This window comes from Homo sapiens, chromosome 15 (assembly GCF_000001405.40).
Source record: "Homo sapiens chromosome 15, GRCh38.p14 Primary Assembly".
NCBI classification, from domain to species: Eukaryota; Metazoa; Chordata; class Mammalia; order Primates; family Hominidae; genus Homo; species Homo sapiens.
In genome coordinates, this window is record NC_000015.10 from 40,064,094 (window position 1) to 40,086,062 (window position 21,969).

General features: G+C 48.6%; 2 long non-coding RNA genes across 3 annotated transcripts in view, besides 8 other annotated features; one reads left to right on the forward strand and one right to left on the reverse strand.

The window, feature by feature from the left end:
* Nucleotides 1-3,416, forward strand: part of SRP14-DT (SRP14 divergent transcript) — a 28,199-nt gene extending 24,783 nt beyond the window's left edge. Inside the window, exons 3-4 of one of the 2 annotated variants that reach the window (NR_040059.1) lie at nucleotides 368-508; nucleotides 1,128-3,416. This is a non-coding gene — a long non-coding RNA (SRP14 divergent transcript). The remainder of the gene's footprint in view (nucleotides 1-367; nucleotides 509-1,127) is intronic. The other variant, NR_040060.1, reaches the window with a different exon arrangement.
* Nucleotides 104-213: an enhancer, noted in NCBI's record as "active region_9227". NCBI's record gives its function as "activates an Ori minimal core promoter by ATAC-STARR-seq in GM12878 lymphoblastoid cells {active_cell/tissue: GM12878}" and the evidence as "EXISTENCE:reporter gene assay evidence [ECO:0000049][PMID:35858748]".
* Nucleotides 624-733: an enhancer, noted in NCBI's record as "active region_9228". NCBI's record gives its function as "activates an Ori minimal core promoter by ATAC-STARR-seq in GM12878 lymphoblastoid cells {active_cell/tissue: GM12878}" and the evidence as "EXISTENCE:reporter gene assay evidence [ECO:0000049][PMID:35858748]".
* Nucleotides 4,227-4,410: a silencer, noted in NCBI's record as "fragment chr15:40360521-40360704 (GRCh37/hg19 assembly coordinates)". NCBI's record gives its function as "represses an EF-1alpha promoter that drives an FKBP-Casp9 reporter gene in an ReSE screen in K562 erythroleukemia cells {active_cell/tissue: K562}" and the evidence as "EXISTENCE:reporter gene assay evidence [ECO:0000049][PMID:32094911]".
* Nucleotides 5,529-5,588: a silencer, noted in NCBI's record as "silent region_6316". NCBI's record gives its function as "represses an Ori minimal core promoter by ATAC-STARR-seq in GM12878 lymphoblastoid cells {active_cell/tissue: GM12878}" and the evidence as "EXISTENCE:reporter gene assay evidence [ECO:0000049][PMID:35858748]".
* Nucleotides 5,719-5,838: an enhancer, noted in NCBI's record as "active region_9229". NCBI's record gives its function as "activates an Ori minimal core promoter by ATAC-STARR-seq in GM12878 lymphoblastoid cells {active_cell/tissue: GM12878}" and the evidence as "EXISTENCE:reporter gene assay evidence [ECO:0000049][PMID:35858748]".
* On the reverse strand, nucleotides 10,194-17,703 carry LOC105370787 (uncharacterized). The gene is made up of 3 exons (NR_188231.1): nucleotides 17,436-17,703; nucleotides 14,565-14,708; nucleotides 10,194-11,927 (listed from the first exon to the last, which is right to left on the reverse strand). It is a non-coding gene; the product is annotated as an uncharacterized LOC105370787 (long non-coding RNA).
* Nucleotides 12,969-13,469: an enhancer, noted in NCBI's record as "H3K4me1 hESC enhancer chr15:40369263-40369763 (GRCh37/hg19 assembly coordinates)". NCBI's record gives its function as "activates a minimal SCP1, AML or CMV promoter by ChIP-STARR-seq in primed H9 embryonic stem cells {active_cell/tissue: H9 hESC(primed)}" and the evidence as "EXISTENCE:reporter gene assay evidence [ECO:0000049][PMID:30033119]".
* Nucleotides 18,239-18,923: an enhancer, noted in NCBI's record as "H3K27ac-H3K4me1 hESC enhancer chr15:40374533-40375217 (GRCh37/hg19 assembly coordinates)". NCBI's record gives its function as "activates a minimal SCP1, AML or CMV promoter by ChIP-STARR-seq in naive H9 embryonic stem cells {active_cell/tissue: H9 hESC(naive)}" and the evidence as "EXISTENCE:reporter gene assay evidence [ECO:0000049][PMID:30033119]".
* Nucleotides 18,556-18,675: an enhancer, noted in NCBI's record as "active region_9230". NCBI's record gives its function as "activates an Ori minimal core promoter by ATAC-STARR-seq in GM12878 lymphoblastoid cells {active_cell/tissue: GM12878}" and the evidence as "EXISTENCE:reporter gene assay evidence [ECO:0000049][PMID:35858748]".

Sequence of the window (21,969 nt, forward strand, 5' to 3'; positions counted from 1 at the left end):
TACCATCCATTTTACAAACATGGCAATGGCTCAGAAGTCTTCAGTTATTTGCCCAGGGTCACTTGGCTGACTGTAGCAGAATCAGGATTTGAACCCAGGCCCAACTTCAAAGCCAGTCCTCTTCTCATTGGGTTGCGCCCCCAGCATTAGCACAGGGACAGTTCCTCAGGCTGACTGCCCAAGGCCCCATCTGTGCAAACAGGAGAGGAAATGGCAGCCTAACTCCAGGCAGGGCCCGGGCTCAGAAGGGGGTCTACAGGGCTGAAGAGGCAGCTGGCCAGAGATTCCACAGGAAGCATCTTGTTGACACATCTTCATCACTTTGGAATTTGAGCAACAACATTTACCCCTTCTGAAACTCACCCAGAGGAAGCGGATTTTCTGACGCATATGAAGAGTGAGAACTGTCTACATCTAAGTCTTCTTTGAGAACAATACCAGCTGAGCGGCTATTTACATTCCAGCTTCTTTTGAGAATCTCTGAAGATGATTAAGTCATTGTCAGCTGGTAAGGGTTGGTCTCACCACTTCTCATGTTGGATCATTGAGGCAAGAAACCTTCAAAGAATCCTTTTTGGGTATCTTTTAGTGAGGAAAAAAGTGGGGACAAAGATACGTAAGGCAGTACTTGCCAGAAGTCGCGGGGTGGGAAGAGGAAGTGTGCAGAGTTCTAGAGCCTGTCTTCACCTGGGGGATGTGCACTGACGATGCATATACTTGGCTGTGAAGGCCCAAATTTAGGACAGGGAGTTAGAACCACCCACATTGAAAGTCTAAGGGCCTGTTTCATCTTGCAGCCTCACCACGCTCCCACCAATAGCACAAATACTGTAGTACAAATGCTATGCTCAGTAAATGTTAATCAGCCTCATAAACAGTTCAGGGAAGGCTTTGAGGAGGAAAAGGGTGGAATTTCACCTGGGCCTTGAAGGGAATTTGGGAGGCACAGAGATGGGAAAAGGAAGAAGGCTGAGAGAACAGCATGAGCAGGGCACGTGGTGCACTATGGGAGTGTGTCGTGGGAGATGAGATCAGACAACTCCAGAGTCTGGAGTCCTTTACTCCAGGGACTTGGTGAGCATGTGGTGATCTGCATCTCCTGTTCTCTACACCTTGACTTCTCCTAGGCCCAGAACCATATCCTGCTCCACAAGCCTCGTCCTTGGCAAGAAGTTGCACCTGCCCAGAGAGAAAACCTTTTGAAACTGGCACAAAGGCACTGGAGAGACTGGCAGGGCCCCCTACTTGACGATCTGGCTCATCCATCTGCACACTGACCACGCTAAGAGCTGTCTGCAGTGATGGAAACCTTCTCTAGCTGTGCTGTCCTCTATAGTGGCACCAGCTGCCTGTGGCTACTGAGCACTTCAACTGTGGCTGCAGAGACTATGTTAAATTGTATTTAATCATAATTAATTTAATTGTAAACAACTACATGTGGCTAGTGGTTTCTGTACTGGGCACTGCAGGTGCACATTTCCTGCTGGCCATGGACAGTAAGCTCCATAAGAGACTAATTGTGCCTGGTTTGCTTATAGGCTTATCCTCAGCACCTGCACCAGCCTAGAATATGATTGGCACTCTATTAATTAAAAGTTCCCAGGTAAATGAATTAGTGGATTCTCTGTTTCCTCCACTATGCCACAACCTCCTTAAGGGCAGAGATGGTGTCTTCAAAAAAAAAAAATTCTGGTCAAAAACACATAAGATCTACCACCTTCACCATTGTTGTGTCCAGTTCAGTAGTATTAACTACACTTACATTGTGATACAACAAAAGATTGTGTCTTTTTACATTCTTAGGACCCAGCACAGTGTCTGGCACATAATCTTAGTAAACACTGGCAGAGCACATGCCTTTGCCAAGGCCAGAACAGAGGTTCAGTGCCATCCATTACCACCCTTTCACACATCCACTGGGGCTTTAAAAACAACCTGGAATGAAAGCTGTTGAGTCTAGAGAAATGGGCTACAAAGAAGGTTTACAAGATAATCTATTAAGAATAGGGAATACAGGCCGGGCACGGTGGCTCACACCTGTAATCCCAGCACTTTGGGAGGCTGAGGTGGGTGGATCATTTGAGGTCAGGAGTTCGAGACCAGCCTGGCCAATGTGGTGAAATCCTGTCTCTACCAAAAATTATCCAGGCATGGTGGTGCGTGCCTGTAGTCCCAGCTACTTGGGAGGCTGAGGCATGAGCATCGCTTGAACCCGGGAGGCAGAGGTTGCAGTGAGCCGAGATCGCGCCACTACACCCCAGCCTGGGTGACAGAGCAAGACTCCGTCTCAAAAAAATAAAAAAACCTAAAATAAAGCTTAATACACATGACATATGGATTGGCAGTCACACATAAATATGATTGATAAGGATACAAATATTTGGAGGTGCTGCCTGACCATCTGTTGCTGATTATGTGGAGATCACTTGTCTAGGACCCTGAGATAGACTGATGTTTCTAACTCTGCCACACACGGTCTCTCCCACCCTCCAGACACTTTCTTCCTTCAGTTCAGGGAACCCTCAATACACAGTAAGAATGAAGAGGTTGCAGGTCTGAGCTTGAGGAGGACTGGACTAAAAGGAGTTTAGCCCTGCCAGGGCATTCCGAGGACTGTGAAGATCCGGAATATTGGCCACAGGCATCTATGTATTTGAATCATATCCATTTTTGAGCTCACTCCTAGCAGAGGAGTCAAAACTTACGTTCTGGCCCCCAGGTACATTTCCAGTCTCTTACTCATAAAATTGTGACATACCCCCAGGGGTGCCCAAAGGGGTTTGTGAATCAAGATAGTTTGAGGAGAATCGATTTTCTGATCCTCAGTTTTTCTATGCTCTTTTTCCTAAAAGCGATATTCCTAAAAAGGCATCCAAGACAAGGCATCCCCTTTCCCATTTGCTGGGGAAGACAGCTTTACAAGAGAAAGCTGCCCCTCTCACCCATGTGACCCCCCACTCTGGGGCACTGCCCTAGGGGTAGAAATCTCCAAGGCATCAAACAAAGTGACTCCTGGGGGTCAAGTGACAGAGGAGCAAGTCTTTCTGCAAGTCAAGTGGTTTCCAGCTCTGCTTTCAGCAAAATTGAAAGAGGCACTAATCAAATTGCCAGCGGATCATAAAAAAACATTTTGATAATAATGTTATTAGGCATATAACTTGGAAGAAGTTCAAAGAATTGAATGGCATCCTCATAACAAACTCATCGGCTTCCATTTATTTATTTATGTGGACAGTGTTTCTCAATGTTTAAACCTACAAAAGACTAAACATGGGAGTAAACTTCATGTTGAACCTTGTGTGAGTCTAGCAATAAGTCATCCACATATACATACACTAATTGGGAAGAAAACCTGTCCCAACCCCAACTATTTTATTAAGAGATGCATTTCCAATAAAAATTTACCTTTTATGTTTAATAGTTGTTTATCAAATTTCGTAATTATTTACATTGCTCTGATCAATTGGATATAAACTATTCTAACACTAAACTCATAACCAAAAAATTAATGCTCAGCTTTGGGAACAGAGGAATTTTTTTTTTTTTTTTTTTTTTTGAGAAGGAGTCTTGCTCTGTTACCCAGGCTGGAGTGCAGAGGCGCAATTTCAGCTCTCTGCAACCTCCACCTCCCGGGTTCAAGCGATTCTCCTGCCTCAGCCTCCCAAGTAGCTGGGACTACAGGTGTGTGCCATCACGCCTAGCTAATTTTTGTATTTTTAGTAGAGACAGGGTTTCACCATGTTGGCCAGGATGGTCTTGACCTCTTGACCTCGTGATCTGCCCCTCGGCTTCCCAAAGTGTTGGGATTACAGGTGTGAGCCACCAGTCCCGGCCAGAAGTTTTAATCTTTAAATTTTATTTAATACAATAATCAATCAAAGATTTTTCTTTCTTTCTTTTTTTTTTTTTTTTTTTTGAGACAACTTCTCCCTTTGTTAGTCAGGCTAGAGTGCAGTGGTGCAATCATGGCTCACTGCAGCCTTGACCTCCTGGGCTCAAGCCATCCTCCTGCCTCAGCCTCCCCAAAGTACTGGGATTACAGTCATGAACCACCATGCCTAGCCAATAAAAGATTTTCAAGCATAAAAAATAAATACAGGCTGGGTGCTGTGGCTCACACCTATAATCTCAACACTTTGGGAGGCCGAGGTGGGCGGATCATTTGAGCCTAGGAATTGGAGACCAGCCTGGGCAATATGGTGAAACTGTGTCTCTACAAAAAATACAAAAATTAGCAGGGCATGGTGGTGCAGGCCTGTAGTTCCAGCTACTCAGAAGGCCGAGGTGGGGGAATCACCTGAGCCCAGGAGATTGAGGCTGCAGTGAATCAGGATCACACCACTGCACTCCAGCCTGGGCAACAGAGCAAAACCCTGCCTCAAAAAAAAAACAAACAAACAAACAAAAAAAAACCCTTACATTAGCATAAAATCTGTAACAGGAGTGAAATGGAAATACAAGTTCTTGGAGAGAACGAAATAATGTAAACTTCTAAGCTGTTTAATTAGCGTTTGTTCCCCTATTTTTTTTAATGGATAATGTTGGACACAGAATTGCTCTGGCATTTAGATTCCATTGGACATTTAAAAGAAAGATACAATTTGTATTTGAAAATATCAATATTCATTTTTCTTTGAATTTTTTGACTATAAAATATAATAAAGGCATATAGAAAGTGAAAAAATATTCATAAAATGCTAAAAAGGATATCCTTTGGAACTATTTAAATTTCTGATGGAAAATTTCAAATGCCAACTTAAATACAAGAGGGTAGGTCATGTAAAAAAATTATTTAAGGGGCTTTGAAGGCGGCTGTCTGGGGAGTTAAGGTCTTGTGTCTCCAGTGCCCTCTCTCACCCCTAAGGTACTGGGTGGGCCTCTGGAGGTACATCTGCCTATACAAGGAATCTTTGATGTAGCAAAAAAAAAACACAAAACACAAAAAACCCTCACAGCATGCCCTGCCCTTGGGCTCTGGAAACCACCGTCCTGCCTGCCCCACTCCTGCTCTCAGCCCCCTCCTCAGGCCTAAGCCTCCCCAACCCTCCCCACCCCCCACCCCACTGCCCCACCCGCAGTCCACCCCGCTGTCGCCTCCCAGCCCTGGCCCGGCCAGCCCTGGAGTAAATAAACCACCGGGCAAGGACCCAGACAATGGGCCTTGGCAAGGAGTTAATGGGCTGGGCCTCTCGCGTTAGCCGAGTGTGACCGGAGCTGGCAGGGGGCCTGGCCTGGCGCCAGCATCGATTACGACCAGACGGAGCCAGGGCAGACTTGGCACGAATGGGCCCCACAGCTGGCAGATTCAGTCACCCTGGCCACAAGGGCACGAGGCCTGCCCTGGGCGCCGGCTGCCACCGCGGCTGTGCTCCCTGCCACCGCCTTCACTGCCAGTGTGGCAGGGCCGCTTGTCAGGCACTCAGTCCCTAGGCCCTTTTGGTTCTCCCCAGGGGATTGTCCCTGGTCAGGCCTCTTCCTGTCCCAGGCTGCCTCTGAGGCTGCTCTGTGGCCCCACAGACTGGGTGCAGAGCGGGGGTGGGGTAGGGGGAGGCTGAGGGTTGGGCTGGGGGATGCAGCTGTGACGCCCCTGCCCCCGGCACTCCCACCACTCCAGGACAGAGGGAGGCTGCTGAGCCAGGCTGGTGTTGGTCAGCAGGAAGAACAGGTGAAGCAAGCCTCATTTCTGGTGTCCAGATGGAGGACAGGGTCTTTCTTCCCCTGTTTCTCAGAAACCTTTGTGGGCCTGGGCTCTGCTCTGGCTCGGCAGCTCCACCCTGCAGGGGGATTGGCCGGGTGGCAGGGACCACCTGAGGGCTCACTGCGTCCCTGCTAAGAAGTTGTTCGAGTCAGGGTTTGCAAGCGGGGCTTGCCTGGGGGAAAGGGCATTTCTTGCTTTTTGGGTTTACTGCTCCTCCCAGGCTCTCTGGGTCCCTCTCCCCTGGGCGATGGGCTGTGGCATAACGTCCTCAGGGCAAGGTAACGGCTCCATCTGGAGCTGATGGCTCCTCCAACGCTAAGGAGCTCCATGGACCCAGTCTTGCTGAGCAAAGGTTTCTTTGGCTTGACTGCTGGAAGACAAATCACACCACTGGGCAGTCTCCAAATTTTAGGGGATGGTCAGTATCTCTCTGAGAGAGATACTGAGAGGTCCAAAAAACCCCACAGAGGAGAGAAAACACCAGGCCACATACCCAGAGTGACAGCCCCTGCTCTCTGAGGTCACAGGTGGAGAGCAGGGGAGGTCAGGCCCTGAGGGCTGTGGCTGCTGGAGCCAGCTCCACCAGGCCTGATAATCCCTGCAGATGAAGCCGGCGCCCATCCCAGTAGGCAGTGGTAATCCCCACCCAACCCCACTTCCCCGGGGAGGAAGCTGACACAGGGGTGAGGGGGCACTGGAAACACGGGAGAGCAGAGGAATGGCAGCTGGGGCCCTTACCCCGGCACCAGCTTCTGCACCTGCCCTGAGTTTCCCTTGTCCCCCTCCAGAAGCTCTCAGATCTTTACTTTTTTGTGAGCTCTGTTCTCAGAGAAAGTTCTAATACATGTATAATACCAACTGGCTAACTGAGTGGGGTGGGTTGGGGCTTGGGGGGCTGGGGAAATGTGTGGCCCACCAAAGGACACTAACCCAACAACCCTGCGGAGTTGTGGTCTCCAAACTGAAAGAGGACACAGTGTCAGGTGACAAACAAAACTGGCCTGGAGCCAGGCATGGTGGCTCACTCCTGTAATCCCAACATTTTGGGAGGCCGAGGCTGGAGGATCACTTGAGCTCAGGAGTTCAAGACCAGCCTGGACAATATAAGGAGACCCCTGTATTTACAAAAATTTAAAAAATTAGCTGGGCTAATGGTGGTGCATGCCTGTAGACCCAGCTACTCGAGAGGCTGAGGTGGGATGGTCGCTTGAGCCTGGGAGGCAAAGGTTGCAATGAGCCGAGATTGCGCCGCTGCACTCCAGCCTGGGCAACAGAGCGAGACCCTGTCTCAAAAATTTAAAAAGTTAAAAAAATTAAAATTAAAAACTGGCCTAGACTAGGGAAGTGAAATGTCCAAACATTTTGAACAGATAAGAGGCATGGTAGGAGGGATGAATTTTTATAAAAGAAATATTGACATTTGGTGGCGAAATATAAATATATACAAATCTTTTCCTCTACAATACTTTTTTATTGTCCTTGAAGGACCTACAAAAATCACTTAGGTCGTTTAGGCACATAAAATGTGCCATGCATAACTTGGCTCATAAAATTGTCACCTTTGTTATATGGTTCCAGAGATGTGAAGGTCTGTTTAAAAGTTAAAAACATGCTGTTAATGGAGACTCTATTTTTCCCCAATATTTTTTAAAACCAAAAGACTCCTCAAGGAGTCTGATTTTTTTTTCTCCCCTGGCCTTCATCTGGACTCTTCCTTTTGGTGGCCTTTAATGAAGTAGGTTGGAGACCCTTCATACTGGGTAACCTCACACCTTGACCTGGGTAGTCAGTAGCACAGGGCCCAATGCTTAGAAGGGCCTTGCATTTGGTTTAAAACTCTGTTGCCGCAATATATATATGTCTTTTTTGAGACAGGGTCTTGCTCTGTCACCCAGGCTGGAGTGCTGTGGCATGTTCTTGGCTCACTGCAGCCTCCACCTCCTGGGTTCAGGCTATCCTCCCACCTCAGCCTCCCTAGCAGCTGGAACTCACAGGCATGCACCACCACGCCCACTAATTTTTTATTTTATTTTTTTGAGACAGGGTCTTGTTCTGTCACCCAGGCTGGAGTGCAGTGATGCAATTTTGGCTCACTGCAACCTCTGCTTCCTGGGATCAAGTGATCCTCCCACCTCGGCCTCCTGAGTAGCTGGGACTACAAGCATGTGCCACTGTGCCTGACCTAATTTTTTATTTTTTGTAGAGACAGGCTCTCACTATGTTGCCCAGGCTGGTCTTGAACTCCTGGGCTTAAATGATCCTCCTACCTCAGCCTCCCAAAATGCTGGGATTACAGGCACGTGCCACCACACCCAGCAAACGCTTCATAATTTAATAAGGGGCCCGTATTTTCACTTTGCACTGAGCCCCACAAGATAAGTAGCCAGGTCTAGTTATACCCCCGCCTGAAGCCAACACTGACCTTCCCCAGCCCTCGGAGCTGTCCCCAGGCCTCACTAGTCTCATCTCTCCAGTAGGAGGCCTTTGCCCTTGTGTAAGTCTTGCTTCTTCTCGTCAGGAGTGCCTGACTGCGTGCCTCGCTTCGAGCCTCCCGTCCCCTCTAGCCAGCTCAACAGCATCTCCTTATATTCCCCTTCGGCCCTGGGGACCACTGGGAACAAAACAAAACGCAACCCGTTCCCTTGTGGCTGTCGGGCGGGCGGGCGTTGAGCCCTGTTCCTCACTCCAGCTGGTGTACCCCTCCGGGAGCCACGCCTCGCGCGGAGCGGGAGCCTTCAAAGAGGCCGCGCCTTCCTGGCTGCTCCCTTCGCATCCTGATCCAGTCCAATGATGTTTTTGCAATTTTCCTGTGAGCTTGGTGGGAAAAGCTCAAAGAGACTCTGTCTTCCTTTCTGGCTTCCTTTCCAGACGGCGCAGCTTTCTCTCAGCTGCTCCCCTGCCCCACCTCTCTCGAGGAAATCGGTCTCTTTCCTCTCCCCCTCACCCAAAAGGTCCATTCCTGAGGCTTATCCTGAAATCAAGCCGTAGCGGAGCGGTGGGGGATCCGAGGCACAAGGTGGGTCGGAAGTCGGCTAACCACCTGGCTTGGGGCCTCCCTACCAATGCCACCTGTGGAGGCAGACTGTTCGGAGGATCCCGGAGGGAGACAGGGATAAAGAGAGCTCCTGGGGCTGGAAGAACATTAGCACCTCTCATTAGGGCTCCCACAATACCCCATCTGAAAGAAGGTGATGGGTTGTTCATAACCCGCTTCTCCTGGAAACACTTTCTAGTGGCCGGGGACAAACGGGAATGTGTCGCCTCTGTGGCCTTTCTGTTGAAGCAGCTTAGCTGTCAACGCTATTCCCTGGGAAGAGCCTGGCATCCCAGGGGTCTCAGAACGGGCATCAGAGTTCAGAATGTATGACAATCACTCCCAGCCAATACCATCACTCTCCCAAATCAGGAGTTTCCAGTTCTCCCAAGGCATCAACTGTACCCTGACACCCTAGTGCAGTGCTAGGGAAGTGCGCATGTCCCATTAACATCACTCCTCCATCCGCTCCTCCGCCCCTCTTTCCTTCTCTATTAAAAGTGATAGGCTGGGCGCGGTGGCCCACGCCTGTAATCCCAGCACTTTGGGAGGCCGAGGCGGGCAGATCACTGTCAGGAGATCGAGACCATCTTGGCTAACACGGTGAAACCCCGTCTCTACTAAAAATACAAAAAATTAGCCGGGCGTGGTGGCGGGTGCCTGTAATCCCAGCTACACGGGAGGCTGAGGCAGGAGAATAGCGTGAACCTGGGAGGCGGAGCTTCCAGTGAGCCAAGATGGCGCCACTGCACTCCAACCTGGGGGACAGAGCGAGACTCCGTCTCAAAAAAAAAAAAAAAGATCCGCAGGACTTGAGAATAAAGAAGACTTGCCTGCTGTTTCCACCCACTAGAGAGCCCACCAGGCCCAGGGACAAGCCCAGGGCTCCAACTCTTCCCTTTTTTTTTTTTTTTTTTTTTTTTCCAGCAACGGGGCCTCATGATGTTGCCTAGGCTGGGCTCCAGCTCCTGGATTCAAGCAATCCTCCCACCTTGGCCTCTCAGTGTTTTGGGATTACAGGTGTGAGCCACCACGCCTGGTCTCAAGCCTTCGCTTTCGCAATCAGCACTAAAGGCAGCCAGAAATCAACCGTGCGCCACCCCCGACCTGAGAAACAAGTCTAAATGTGTCCGGAATTGGTGGGTTCTTAGTTTCACTGACTTCAAGAATGAAGCCGCGGACCCTCGCGGTGAGTGTTACAGCTCTTAAGGTAGCGCGTCTGAAGTCTGTCCCTTCTGATGTTCACACGTGTTCCGAGTTTTTTCCTTCTGGTGGGTTTGTGGTCTCGCTGGCTTAGGAGTGAAGCTGCAGACCTTCGCGGTGAGTGTTATACCTCTTAAGGCAGCGCGTCTGGAGTTGTTTGTTCCTCCCGGTGGGCTCGTGGTCTCAGGAGTGAAGCTGCAGATCTTCGCGGTGAGTGTTATAGCTTATAGCTCATAGACGCAGCGTGGACCCAAAGAGTGAGCAATAGCAAGATTTATTGCAAAGACCGAAAGAACACAGCTTCTATCAGCCTGGAAGGGGACCCGAGCGGGTTGCCAATGCTGGCTTGGGCAGCCTGCTTTTATTCTCTTATCTGGCCCCACCCACATCCTGCTGATTGGTAGAGCCGAGTGGCCTGTTTCGTCAGGGCGCTGATTGGTGCGTTTACAATCCCTGAGCTAGATACAAAGGTTCTCCACGTCCCCATTAGATTAGTTAGGTACAGAGTTTCCACACACAGGTTCTCCAAGGCCCCACCAGAGCAGCTAGATACAGAGTGTCGATTGGTGCACTCACAAACCTTGAGCTAAACACAGGGTGCTGATTGGTGTGTTTACAATCCCTGAGCTAGATATAAAGACTCTCCACGTCCCCACCAGACTCAGGAGCCCAGCTGGTTTCACCTAGTGGATCCCGCAATGGGGCTGCAGGTGGAGCTGCCTACCAGTCCTGCGCCGTGCGCTCGCATTCCTCAGCCCTTGGGTGGTCGATGGGACTGGGCGCCGTGGAGAAGGGGGCGGCATTCGTCGGGGAGGCTCGGGCCGCACAGGAGCCTACGGAGGGGGTGGGAGGCTCAGGCATGGCGGGCTGCAGGTCCCGAGCCCTGCCCCGCGGGAAGGCAGCTAAGGCCCAGCGAGAAATCGAGCACAGCACCGGTGGGCCGGCACTGCTGGGGGACCGAGTACACCCTCCGCAGCCGCTGGCCTGGGTGCTAAGTCCCCCATTGCCCGGGGCCAGCAGGGCTGGCTGGCTGCTCCGAGTGCGGGGCCCACCAAGCCCACGCCCACCTGGAACTCCAGCTGGCCCACAAGGCCGCACGCAGCCCCGGTTCCCACTCGTGCCTCTCCCTCCACACCTCCCTGCAAGCTGAGGGAGTGGGCTCCGGCCTTGGCCAGCCCAGAAAGGGGCTCCCACAGTGCAGTGGGGGCTGAAGGGCTCCTCAAATGCCACCAAAGTGGGAGCCCAGGCAGGGGAGGTGCCGAGAGCAAGCGAGGGCTCTGAGGACTGCCAGCAGGCTGTCACCTCTGATAAATAGGTAGGACCGTAAGCAAGCCAGAAGCCCAGGTGAACAGTGGGCCCGGAGCCAACAGGAACTCGCTCTGAAACTCCAAATCCCAAAAGAGTAGAGGGGCTGGTTTCCATAAAGGCCGCAAAGTAAACCTTGTGGAGAAGACTCCAGTGGCTCTGGAGAAAGGGGGAAGCAACGTGGGGCAGCAGAAGGGCAGAGGACAAATGAGTCAGCAAAAATGACTTCCTACCTCCCAAAGGGGAGGGGGTTGAGGACGGGAATTTCCAGTAAGAAAGACTGGCAAGATCCTGGGTAAAAGCTGAAAGGGAAAGAGGTACACGGGGCAGGAAAATAACACCATTGGAATGAAAATGGTTCCCCTGCAGTCTAGTGATAGGAGAAGGAGGGAATTGAGTGAGTTGGGGTATCTTAGCCATCTCGGCCAATCGCGTGGCACTACAGCACTGGGACTTTCTTGGCAGAATGAATACACAGGGGCTTAGAGGCATGTGCTGCTACTGAGGGGAGCACCAAGTGAGAAATGGAAAAGACCAGGAGAGTGGTGAACGGCCTCACGCTCACTTGACTTCACTCATGCAGAAGGGCTGCGGGAGCAAGATGGAAGTCCTGACTGACGATCCACACTCTGGGTCTTCAGGGAAGTGTCAGCCTCAGAGCTGCGGTCAGTGCGTGGAGCCGGCTACCTGTTGGGGAAGAAGAACTTAAGGTAGCTCCTTACCTCACACGTGCTAGTTAGGCTAAATAATTATTATTTTTGAAAGGAAGCAATTTAAAAAGAAAGAAACGAGAAGAATGTATAGGTAAAGACTTGAAAAAAAAAATATATATATATATATATAGTCAAGACAGGGTCTTGCCATGCTGCCCAGACCAGAGTGCAGTGGCTATTCACAGGCATGATCATGGTGTGCTACAGCCTTAAACTCCTGGGCTCAGGTGATCCTCCTGACTAAGCTTCTCAAGTAGCTGGGACCACAAGTGCATTCCACTGCGTCCAGCCTTCTTGAACATTTTTATATGAAAAGTTATATAAGCATAAATGCAACAGAAGTCACAAAGGAAGGCTTGATTTGGCTGCATTGAAAAAAATTTGTGACTCGAAGTGAAATTGTAAGACAAATAGCAGTTTATAAAGAATTCTCGTAGACAATAAAATACTAATTCCAAAAGTTAAAAACAGCCAAATACTAAGGAAGAGACAACTCGCAGAAGAAACAATGGCAATTAAGTATTTAAATATTTCTTACTAATTTAGAAAATAAGAAAGTGAAAGTTAAACAATGAAATGTCTCATTCTGGGTGGACATTGTAGCTCATGGCTGTAATCCCAGCGAATGGGGAGGTAGAGGTGGGAGGATCGCTTGAGCCCAGGAGTTCTAGACCAGTTTGAGCAACATAGCTGGTCTCTACAAAATAAAAAATAAAAAATAAAAAATTAGCGCAGGGCACAGTGGCTCACGCCTGTAATCCCAGCACTTTGGGAGGCCGAGGCGAGCGGATCACGAGGTCAGGAGATAGAGACCATCCTGGCTAACACACGGTGAAAGCCCGTCTCTACTAAAAATACAAAAAAAAAAAAAAAAAAAAAAAAAATTAGCCAGACATAGTGGCTGGCGCCTGTAGTCCCAGCTACTGTGCTCGGGAGGCTGAGGCAGGAGAATGGCGTGAACCCGGGAGGCGGAGCTTGCAGTGAGCCGAGATCGCGCCGCTGCACTCCAGCCTGGGAGAAAGAGCAAGACTCCATCTCAAAAAAAAAATAAAATAAAATTAGCAAGCGTGTTGGTGCACGCCTGTAGTCCCAGATACTTGGCGGTGGAGGGGTGGCGGAAGGGGGCGGGCTGTTTGAGCCCAGGAGCTCAGGAGGTCAAGGCTGCAGTGAGCCATGATCGTGCCACTATGCTCCAGCCTGGGCGACAGAGTGATACCTTGTGTCAAAAAAAAAGAAAGAGAAAGAGGGAGGGAGGGAGGGAGGGAGGGATGGAGGGAAGGAAGGAAGGAAGGAAGGAAGGAAGGAAGGAAGGAAGGAAGGAAAGAAGGAAGGAAGGAGAAAGAAGGAAAAAGAAAGTCCCTTTTCACTCGTAAAATTAGCAAAATAAAAATGTTTCAGGCTGGCCATGTTGGCTCACAGCTGTATTCCCAGCACTAGATGGAAACGTGGTGATTTAGGATCCAGGTTCTGTTTAGCTCAATAAGCTAGACGTCCTCCCCTGAGGAGGGAAGACGGCTTGAACCCAAGAGGTCGAAGCTGCCGTGAGCTATGATTGTGCCATTGCAGCCTGGGCAACAGAGTGAGACCTGTCTCAAAAAAAAAACAAAAAAAGTTTCAAATGATAATACAGTTGACCCTTGAACAAGGGTTTGAACTGCGTGAGTCCACTTATGTGCATGCTTTTTTTTGTTGTTTTTTTTTTTTTTTTTTTTTTTTTGGTTTTTTTGTTTTTTGAGACAGGGTCTCACTCTGTCACCCAGGCTGGAATTCAGTGGCACGATCATGGCTCACTGCAGCCTCAACCTCCCTGGGCTCAGGTGATTTCCCACCTCAGCCTCCCGAGTAGCTGGGACTACAGGCACGTGCCACCATGCCCAGCTAATTTTTATATATTTTTTGTAGACACAAGGTTTCACCATGTTGCCCAGGCTAGTCTCAAACTCCTGGGCTCGAGGAATCCTCCTGCCTTGGCCTCCCAAAATGCTGGGATTACAGTCATGAGCCATGGTGCTCAGCCCAGATTTTTTTCAATAAAAGTTACACCAGGTGTGCCTGCCTCTCCTGCCTCCCGTGCCTCCCCTTCTACGAACTCCTTCATCTCTACTGCCTCTGCCACTCCTAAGACAGCAAGACCTACCCCTCTCTTCCTCCTCCTCAGCCTATTCAATGTGAAGATGATGAGAATGAAGATTTTGATGACGATCCACTTCCACATAATGAATACTAAATATATGTTTTCTTCCTTATGATTTTCTTAATAACATCTTCTTTGCTCTAGTTTATTGTAAGAACACAGAATATAATACATATAACACACACAATATGTGTGAATCGACTATGTTATCACTACGGCTTTTGTCAACAGTAAGCTATTAGTAGTTAAGTTTTGGAGGAGTCAAAAGTTATATATATGAATTTTCAACTAATGGGGGTGGGGGTGGTCAGTGCCCCTAATCCCAACATTGTTCAAGGGTCGACTGTACTGTATTCAATTTTGGTGACCTTGTGTTAGGTGGGACTCTCATATACTGTAAACAAAAGTGTAAAATGATAAAAACTTTCTGGAAGACAATTTAGGGACAGGTATCAAAGGCTTTTGAGAAATTCATACCCTTGTATCCAGAGATGGTTAGCAGTCCACTTATCATGCTTCCTTCCATAGTGTGCAGGTGATGCAGGGAAGTGGCTGCCCAGACAGGGACCATATTCCTCAGTTCTCCTTGCCGTAGGTGTGGCACCATGCCACCAGCCCTTGCTAATGAAAAATGAATGGAGGCAGTGTGTGTTGCTTCCAAGCTGACACGGTAAAGATGTGCCTCCTCCACCCTCTCTTTCTCTGTGTATAGTGGCTTTTCAAGGTACACGCTGAAGACAGCAGAGTGACAAGCTAGATGGAACCTGGATCCTAAATCACCATGTTAAAGGCCACCCACCAAATACTCAACATTGAACAGCTCTGTGAGTGAGAAATAAACTTTTATTGTGTGAAGTCTTTGAGGTTTGGGGCCTTATGTATTATAGCAATTTGTGTTGCTTACTGTGACCCAGAAATTGCACTTCTAGGAATGTTTCCTAAAGAAATAATCCAAGATTCAAAGACTGATAGAATCTGAGAACAATGGACAAAACCCGAAATGGCTATAATCACAATGAATGCTGCAAAGGGCTCTGAAACATGGGAATGGAAACTGAACAGCAGAGGACAGAAAATAAATTACAAAATTGCTCAGTAGTACAAATACAGTATTTGTGATGGGAATTAAGAACAATAGTTGAAAAGAAAATAAAAACCTGATCAGCAAGCCTGGTGTTTAATAAGTGTATACACTGACCCATTTGCACAAACATTTTGGAATAGATTGGTGAATGGATCCTGGCATGGAAATACTTTGTTAATTGTGATCAGAGGGTTATCAGCTCTTTTTCTCTAAGAAATTATTTGACATATGATTAAATTGCCAAGGTCTCTTCTACCTTTTATATATAGATTTTTCCAGCCCAAGTCCCCTAACATTATTGTTTTCATAACTCTGAAGGCTTTTCTTCTCCTCTTCATAGCTGATCCTTCTCACCATTCTCCCTGGCCTCAGGCAGTGATGGTAATATGGGTAACGTAAGTGCTACTACCAGAAATTATGTTAAAAATGTATTATGGGCTGGACATGGTGGCTCACACCTGTAATTCCAGCACTTTGGGAGGCCGAGGCGGGCAGATCACTTGAGGTCAGGAGTTCGAGACCAGCATGGCCAACATGGTAAAACCCCGTATCTTCTAAAAATACAGAAATTAGCCGGGCATGATAGCAGGCGCCTGTAATCCCAGCTACTTGGGGGGCTGAGGCAGGAGAATCACTTGAACCCAGGAAGCAGAAGTTGCAGTGAGCCAAGAATGCGCCACTGCACTCCAGCCTGGGTGACAGAGCAAGACCCCATCTCAAAAAAATATACATATGTGTGTATGTATATGTGTATGTATATATATATATATATTTTTAAATATGTTTATACTTTCAAATTACTTTCACATATATTGCCACTATTTTGGATAATTGTAATCTCTATGTCAAATAGCATCTTTCAGACTGGTGAGTCATATATATACCACAGTTGATTTTCAAGGTTTTATCTTTCAGTTTTTGAAATAGTAATCTCTAATATGGACACAAAATGTAAAGAGAAAAAAAATTGTTCCTCTTTGACTACTATATTATTCAGGATAGGCCAGGGTATGCTGCAGTAATAAAGCAACCCCCAAATTTCAGTGGACACAAAAAAACATTGACTTCTCTCTCTGCTGCATGTTCATTCCAGGTTGGCAGGGACATGGTTCCACATAGTCACTTAAGGACACAGGATGAAAAAGGCTATTTCATTTTGTAGTTGTGCTATTGGAACAAGGGGCCTCTTCAATCACTGGAACAAGGAAAGAGGAAAGTAAAGAAGGGCACGTGGGTATTTTCTGTCTTAGCCCAGAGGTGATCTGCATCATTTCTGCTTATATTTCATTGTCTGGAACTTGTCAAATGGTTCACCTAATATACAGGACTAAATACAATGTTTAGCAAGCATCACTGTCTCTAGTTACTTCTCTCATTCTGTCTACCATTTCTTTTCTGGGGCTGACTGTTTTCTACTTATCTTTGCACATATATGACAGTCTAACTTTCTGAAATTGTGCTAGATAAGGGACATCAAATATGTGAGGTTGTTTCCTCCTCCCATGCCCAGTAGACATTGCTCTTTGGTCATGGTACTCTTTTGGGCTAAGCCTGGATGTAGCATCAGAAACCTTCCCAATACAGCTGGCTGCCAGTTTCTCATTATCGCTAGAGATGAAACTTATTTGTCATCCCCTGCCTAAGGAATTCCACTAGCCCCGAGGACGTGGAACTGACTTGCTTGATTCTAATCTACACTACTCCATTACTTTCTTCAGGGATGGACATGAGACTAGCAGGCACCTGACCAATTCTGTTATCTGTACTGTTCACAAATACCTAATCTCGGGACTCCAGAGTTACCATCATTTTGGGGCTCTGGTATTTTCCCTTCCACTGTCTGCCACTTTGATCAGGGCAAGAACAATCAAAGGAAACTTGACTTCCTTTACGGCTAACATGGGCTACTACCCATAAACTGGGAGAGAGAAAAAAAAAAAAGAAGAAGAAGAAGAAGAAGAAAAGAAAAAGGAAACTTTAGGGTAAAAACAAAAACACAAGTCTTCCCCAACCAGAACTTTGAAATGGATTGGCCCAGCCCTCCTCTCCAGAAGCCTCCACAGTTTCACAGGTCATTCCCCAAACCCAGGAAAGGGAATATTTCTTTCCCATCCTCAGTGACATGAAGCAAAGAGAATAGCCCTTTGAAAAATAATTTTTTTTTAAACTTAAAAAAGAAAATGTCACTTTCCTTAAGGGTTAAACAAAGTAGGCTATCAGGAAAATCTAGAATGTTCTTCCCCTCAGCCATGAAAACTGCTCACCATTTTCTGTTTCTTGCAAGCTTTATCCCGAGCCCCACCGGGGGTCTCTGGTAAGAGATACTTTAGAAAATAGAGAAGTTGGGGCAGGCTGCTGGCTTCCTTGTGTTTTTTTCCTCTCAGCCATTTCCCAAAACTTCTTAAAGTCCTCGCATTATACAAAGTGAAGATTTGTTCTCTCTACACCAGTAGTTGAGAAGTCTCTCCCGACAGAAGTTTTCACTACTGTTGCTGTTTGGAATTGGCTCAGCAGACGTAAACAGGGTCATCTGGGGCCAAAGAGGGTGGGTGTTTAGCTTTAAAGCTCCGGGGTTAAGAGTGAAAGCATGTGACTCCAGCCCGGCCAGAAACAGAGGAGCCTTTGTGTGCAGCGAGTGAGCCAGAGGCAGTCCACAGGGGGAGCGGGAAGGAGAACGCTGACACAGGTTCCGAGGGGCTGACAGGATGCCACTGCAGGGAGATTAACTCTTTGTTCCACAAGGGGAGCTTCTGTTCATGGCTCACAGTAGAGCAGAATACTTTTAAAAATAAAACAGCGAGCTTGCGAAGGGACACACATATTTCTGTAGCCAGAGTTGAGATGAGAGGCAGACCGAAGCAACTGGAAGCAAGAGCAATGTCCCAGCAGGAGTTTTTGGTCGATTAGCCTGGGCACTTCCTTGGGGTCCTCCCTTCTAAACACTGCAGGCTATTTCTGTGCTGCTGCTCCCCTCACACACACCCCTTCTCCTCCTGGATGGCTGGGATGAACCGCAGGAGATAGCAGGGCAGCCTGGACCACACCTCCCCTGGTTCTGCTTCCTCAGGAGCAGGGAGGCTGGTAGTTGGCAGGACCCTGCCAGAGGGAAGCTGCCATGCCACTGATTCAGCCCACCCTGGCCACACCCTCAGGCACCAGAGCCCACTGGTGTCATCCTTCACCAAGGTGCTTCGGAACCATGGACATTTGGTGAGCGTGGGCTCTGCTGGCACTGAGCAAGGAGGTGGCCCTCAGCCTGGCTCACCAGCCTACACTGCTCAGAGCCCACCTGCCTCAGTGCCAGCGTGCCCTTCCCCCAACTCCACTTCCACCCAGAAATTGCTGCATTGAACCCTACTGAAGTGAGCAAGTCAAATTTCCTGAAAGTCTGCAGAATGTGACTTTCGGACTTTGGCAGGAGGAGGAAAGGAAACAAGGTTCATTTTGCCCTCGCCCCGTGGGACTGCTCAGGAGTTCAGACGTGAGGGCGGCAGTGAGTGGCACGCCTTGCTGAACATCACGCCACGAGCACTCACACTTCCTCCCACTAGTATTCTTCACTCTTTGCTTACATGAAGATTGCTGAGCTCCTTGCAAGTGTCAGGTTCTTTGTTGGATAGCGGGGCTACAGTGGTAAATGAGACAGATCAGTGCCTGCCCACACAAGGGCCTTCGGTCCATCCAGACATGTAAAAAAGCCACTCACACAATAATGTCCATTGGTAGTCAAGAAAATGGTGACAGTTGTACTGAGTAAATGGTGACCATCGGTGGTAAGAGGTAAAAGGGAAATTTGTTGGTCCTTAATGGTATGAAATCCAGTCTTACAGGTGTATTTTGGTTTCCCCAGTCTGTGAAGTGTCATCAGTTCTTCTCTACATTTCACAGAGGAATCATGGAAATTATGGGTCTAGAATGGCCGTAAACTGCAGAATATTGAGGCAGTACCAAGCCCTGGTGCTCGGGCAAGAGGCTCCTGACCCCAGCCTTTGATCTACCAGACTCGGGGGCTGATGAATTTTTTTTGTGGTTGCTTTTTAGAATAGTAGCCAGCCCTCTCAAGCGTGTGAGTGTGTGTGTGTGTGTGTGTGTGTGTGTGTGTGTGTGTGTTCAGCACCTATGAAATCGGTACTCAAGGGCTCAGTACCTATGAAATTGGGCTAAAGGGTACTTGGCAAACATAATGCTGTGTTAGAAATGAGGTTGCCACCAGGCACCAAACCCTCTCCACTTCACAGACGGAATCATGGGGCAGAACCCTGGGCTCACTCAGGTGCAAAACAAGCAGCTTTTATCAGGGTTGCCCAGAACTCCCAGGCCTTTGCCCCTGTCCACTCCCGGGTCTTCCACAGTCCCCAACCATGTTTTCCTACCCCTCCAAGGGCTGACCACTCCCCACCAGTTCATTTTGCATGAACCTCTGAAGCCCCTTTCTGAGCTCATGGAAAAGCACCCCAGGTTCCTTGCCCGTCTTCCAGCTGGATAAGATAGAAGGCTGCAAAGCCCATTGTGGCTACAAATACTCTCTCTGGGCTGAAGTTGTGACCTCCAAAAGGACAGGACCATTTTCACAGCCTCAGTCTCTGAATGTGCTGACAGGAAGTGTACATCTCCAAAATCAAGAATGCAGTACAATAAACACACGTGCCCCCAGAGATTGCACCATCCTCCATCACCGTGTACACAGGGTGAAATGTACATGCGACAGCAGTAACTGCCTGGAGTATGAGGAAAGTCAGGAGCGCAATGAAGAAAAAGCTTGCTTTGGTTTCTAAGTTTTTGCAGTACTTGTTCTTTTGCTTTTTCCTTTACAAAGAAAACCATAATCCTGAAGCCTGGGGACCAAGTGACAGGTTCAGAGACTCAATAATTTTCCTGAAATCTTATGCAAAAATTCTTGAGTCTGAGCATGTCATATGCCTTTTCCCTAAGAGAGGATTGCTATCTTAATTCAGCAGAATCTCAAAAGAGTTCGAGACCTGACCAAAACAAAACAAAACAAAACACAAAATACTGCGAAGCTGGGGATGGTGGCTCACGCCTGTAATCCCAGCATTTTGGGAGGCCAAGGCAGGTGGATCACTTGAGTCCAGGAGTTCGAGACCAGCCTGGCCAACATGGTGAAACCCCATCTCTACTAAAAATACAAAAAATTAGCCGGGAGTGGTGGTGGGCGCCTGTAATCTCAGCTACTCGGGAGGCTGAGGCAGGAGAATTGCTTGAACCCAGGAGGCGTAGGCTGCAGTGAGCCAAGATCGTGCCATTGCACTCCAGCCTGGGCAACAGAGCGAGACTCCATCTCAAAAACAAAAAACAAAAAACCTGCTGAATAAAATGCTGGGGCAGGTCACAGAGATGCAGTCTGGTCCTGCCCCATTGATAGATAAGGACCCCAAAGACCAGTGAGGTGAAGTCACATCCTTGCCCAAAGTCATTCCGTCAGCTAATGATACAGTCAGCCTGAAAACCCAGTCTCCTTAATCCCCACCGGGTGATTCATCCACTTTTCCACACCACCTGGATTTCTTGTAGGGCATAATTTTGAGGGTGGGGACCATGTAGCTTATTTCTTTCCAATCTTCGCACTGGGCTTAGGGTGGCGCCTCGCTTCAGTGCCAGTGACTCATTCAGTGTACCTCACCTTCTTAGGAGCAGGGTTGGCGCTCGAATGAGCATTCGAATGCTGGTGACAGATCCCCCTGCAGAGTAGCGTGGAGCCAGGGGACATGTGAATGGTAGCAAAAGCAGTGGCCAGACAGGGCATCACTAACATCACTTACTTTCACCCTCCCTTTAGGACAATTCCAATTCTAATTCCACACCGAGCCTTCCCAGTTACGGGGGCAGAAGCGTCTCCTAGGAAGCAGTGCGTTAAGGGCAGCATGGTTTGGGGTTTAGGGGTCCAAAGGAGTCTCATTGTACACAGGGACTAGTTCCAAGACCTCCTGTAAAGCCAAATCACATAAAGTGAAAATTTCCCTTGAAAATCCTTTAAAATGCCTATGAAGTACAACAAGCAGACATGATCCCTCCACGGGACATCCCAGCCAGTCAGCTCTGCCTTCAGGCTGGAAGAGACTCCTGTTACCTCAGCTGAGCAGCAGAGGAAAACGTGGGTGGCATTTAGGGCTGTGCTGGGCCAGAGAAACTTATCTTCAGTGTGGCGAGATGCTGCCGTGAGATGAGGCCAGGGAAGGGTGGCTGCGTGTGCTCCCGTCTCACACACCCTCCGGGCCCTGCAACCTTGCCCGGCTGCTGCACTGTATCACCACACATCAACATATCACTGTATGTGTCCCTCCCGCTCTCCCCACCTCTCAGCTGAGCTCCTGCAGTTGACTTCATGAAAATTAAATGGGTGCTTCAGGGGTCTCCTCCTTAATACCAGCACCTTATCACGCGGCCACCTTGGGCTGCCACTCCCAAATTCCTGGCCCACAGAAACTGTGAGATAATAAATTTTTGTTTGTTTGGTTTTTGTTTTTTTTTTTGAGACGGAGTCTTGCACTGTTGCCTGGACTGGAGTGCAGTGGCGGGATCTCGGCTCACTGCAACCTCCACCTCCCGGGTTCAAGCGATTCTCCTGCCTCAGCCTCCCAAGTAGCTGGGATTACAGGTGCCCACCACCACTCCCGGCTAATTTTTTGTATTTTTAGTAGAAACGGGGTTTCACTATGTTGGCCAGGCTGGTCTTGAACTCCTGACCTCGTGATCCACCTGCCTTAGCCTCCCAAAGTGCTGGGATTACAGGCGTGAGCCACTGCGCCCGGCCATTTTTGTTTTAAACTGCTAAATGTA